We start from the raw sequence: 1,496 nt of genomic DNA, 5'->3' as shown, positions 1-1,496 counted from the left end.
TATTATTATTATTATTTTGAGATGGAGTTTTGCTCAGTTGCCTAGGCTAGAGTGCAATGCCACAATCTCGGCTCACTGCAACCTCTGCCTCTCGGGTTCAAGCAATTCTCCTGCCTCAGTCTCCCAAGTAGCTAGGATTACAGGCGACTGTCATCATGCCCAGCTAATTTTTGTATTTTTAGTAGAGATGGGGTTTCACCATGTTGGCCAGGCTGGTCTTGAACCCCTGACTTCAGGTGATCCAACCACCTTGGCCTCCCAAAGTGCTGGGATTACAGGCGTGAGCCACTGCTCCCAGCCTCTTTTTGATATTATCATAAAGGAAATTATTTTCTTGATTTCACTTTCTGATTGTTCATTGTTAGTATATAGAAATGCAACTGATTTTTGCATCTTGATTTTGTGTCCTGAAATTTTGCTGAGTTTGTTTTTAGTTCTAAAAGTTTTGGGAGGAATTCTTTAGGGTTCTCTACATATGGGATCATGTCATCTGGAAACAGATAATTTTTACTTCTTCCTTTATAATTTGGATGCCCTTTTCTTTCTTCCTTTTTTAACCTAATAGCTCTGGTTAGTACTTCCAACTCTGTGTTAAATAAAAGTGGCAAAAGTGAGCATCCTTGTCTTGATTTTTTTTTTTTTTTTTTTAATGGAGTTTTGCTCTTTTTGCCCAGGCTGGAATGCTGGAATGCAATGGCTCGGTCTTGGCTCACTGCAACCTCCGCCTCCCAAATTCAAGTGATTCTCCTGCCTCAGCCTCCTGAGTAGCTGGGATTACAGGTATGCACCACCATGCCCATTTTACAAAAAAAAATTTTGTAAAAATACAAAAATTTTTGTATTTTTAGTAGATACAGGGTTTTGCCATGTTAGTCAGCCTGGTGTCAAACTCCTGACTTGGCTTCCCAAAGTGCTGGGATTACAGGCATGAGCCACCGCGCCCGGCCCCTTGTCTTGTTGTTAATCTTGGAAGAAAAGCTTTCAGTCTTTCACCATTGAATATGATATTAGCAGTGGATTTTTCACATATGGCCTTTATTATGTTGAGGTAGTTTCCTTCTATTCCTGTTTTTCTTTTTAAGTGTTTTATCATGGAAGGGTGTTGAATTTTGTCAGATTATTTTTCTGCATCAGTTTAGACAATGGTGTGTCTTTTTTCCTTTATTTTGTTAATGTGGTAGAATTACATTGATTTTTCATATTCTAACCCATCTTTGCCTTCTGGGGAAAAATTCACCTTGATCTTGGTGTATAATCGTTGTGATATACTTTAAATTAGGTTTGCTAACATTTTGTTGAGGGTTTTTGCATCAATATTTCTAAGGAATATTGGTTTGTGTTTTCTTGTAGTATCGTTGTCTAATTTTGGTATTAACATAAACTGGTCTCATAGAATGAGTTAGGCAGTATTCCTTCCTCTTCAATTTTTTAGAAGAGTTTGAGAAGGATTGGTGTAGTTCTTTAAATGTTTGGTAGAATTAAATGATTCCATCTGG

This window comes from Homo sapiens, chromosome 11, assembly GCF_000001405.40.
Source record: "Homo sapiens chromosome 11, GRCh38.p14 Primary Assembly".
Classification (NCBI taxonomy): domain Eukaryota; kingdom Metazoa; phylum Chordata; class Mammalia; order Primates; family Hominidae; genus Homo; species Homo sapiens.
The sequence above is the reverse complement of the archived record's forward strand: the minus strand, read 5'-3'. Positions refer to the sequence as shown.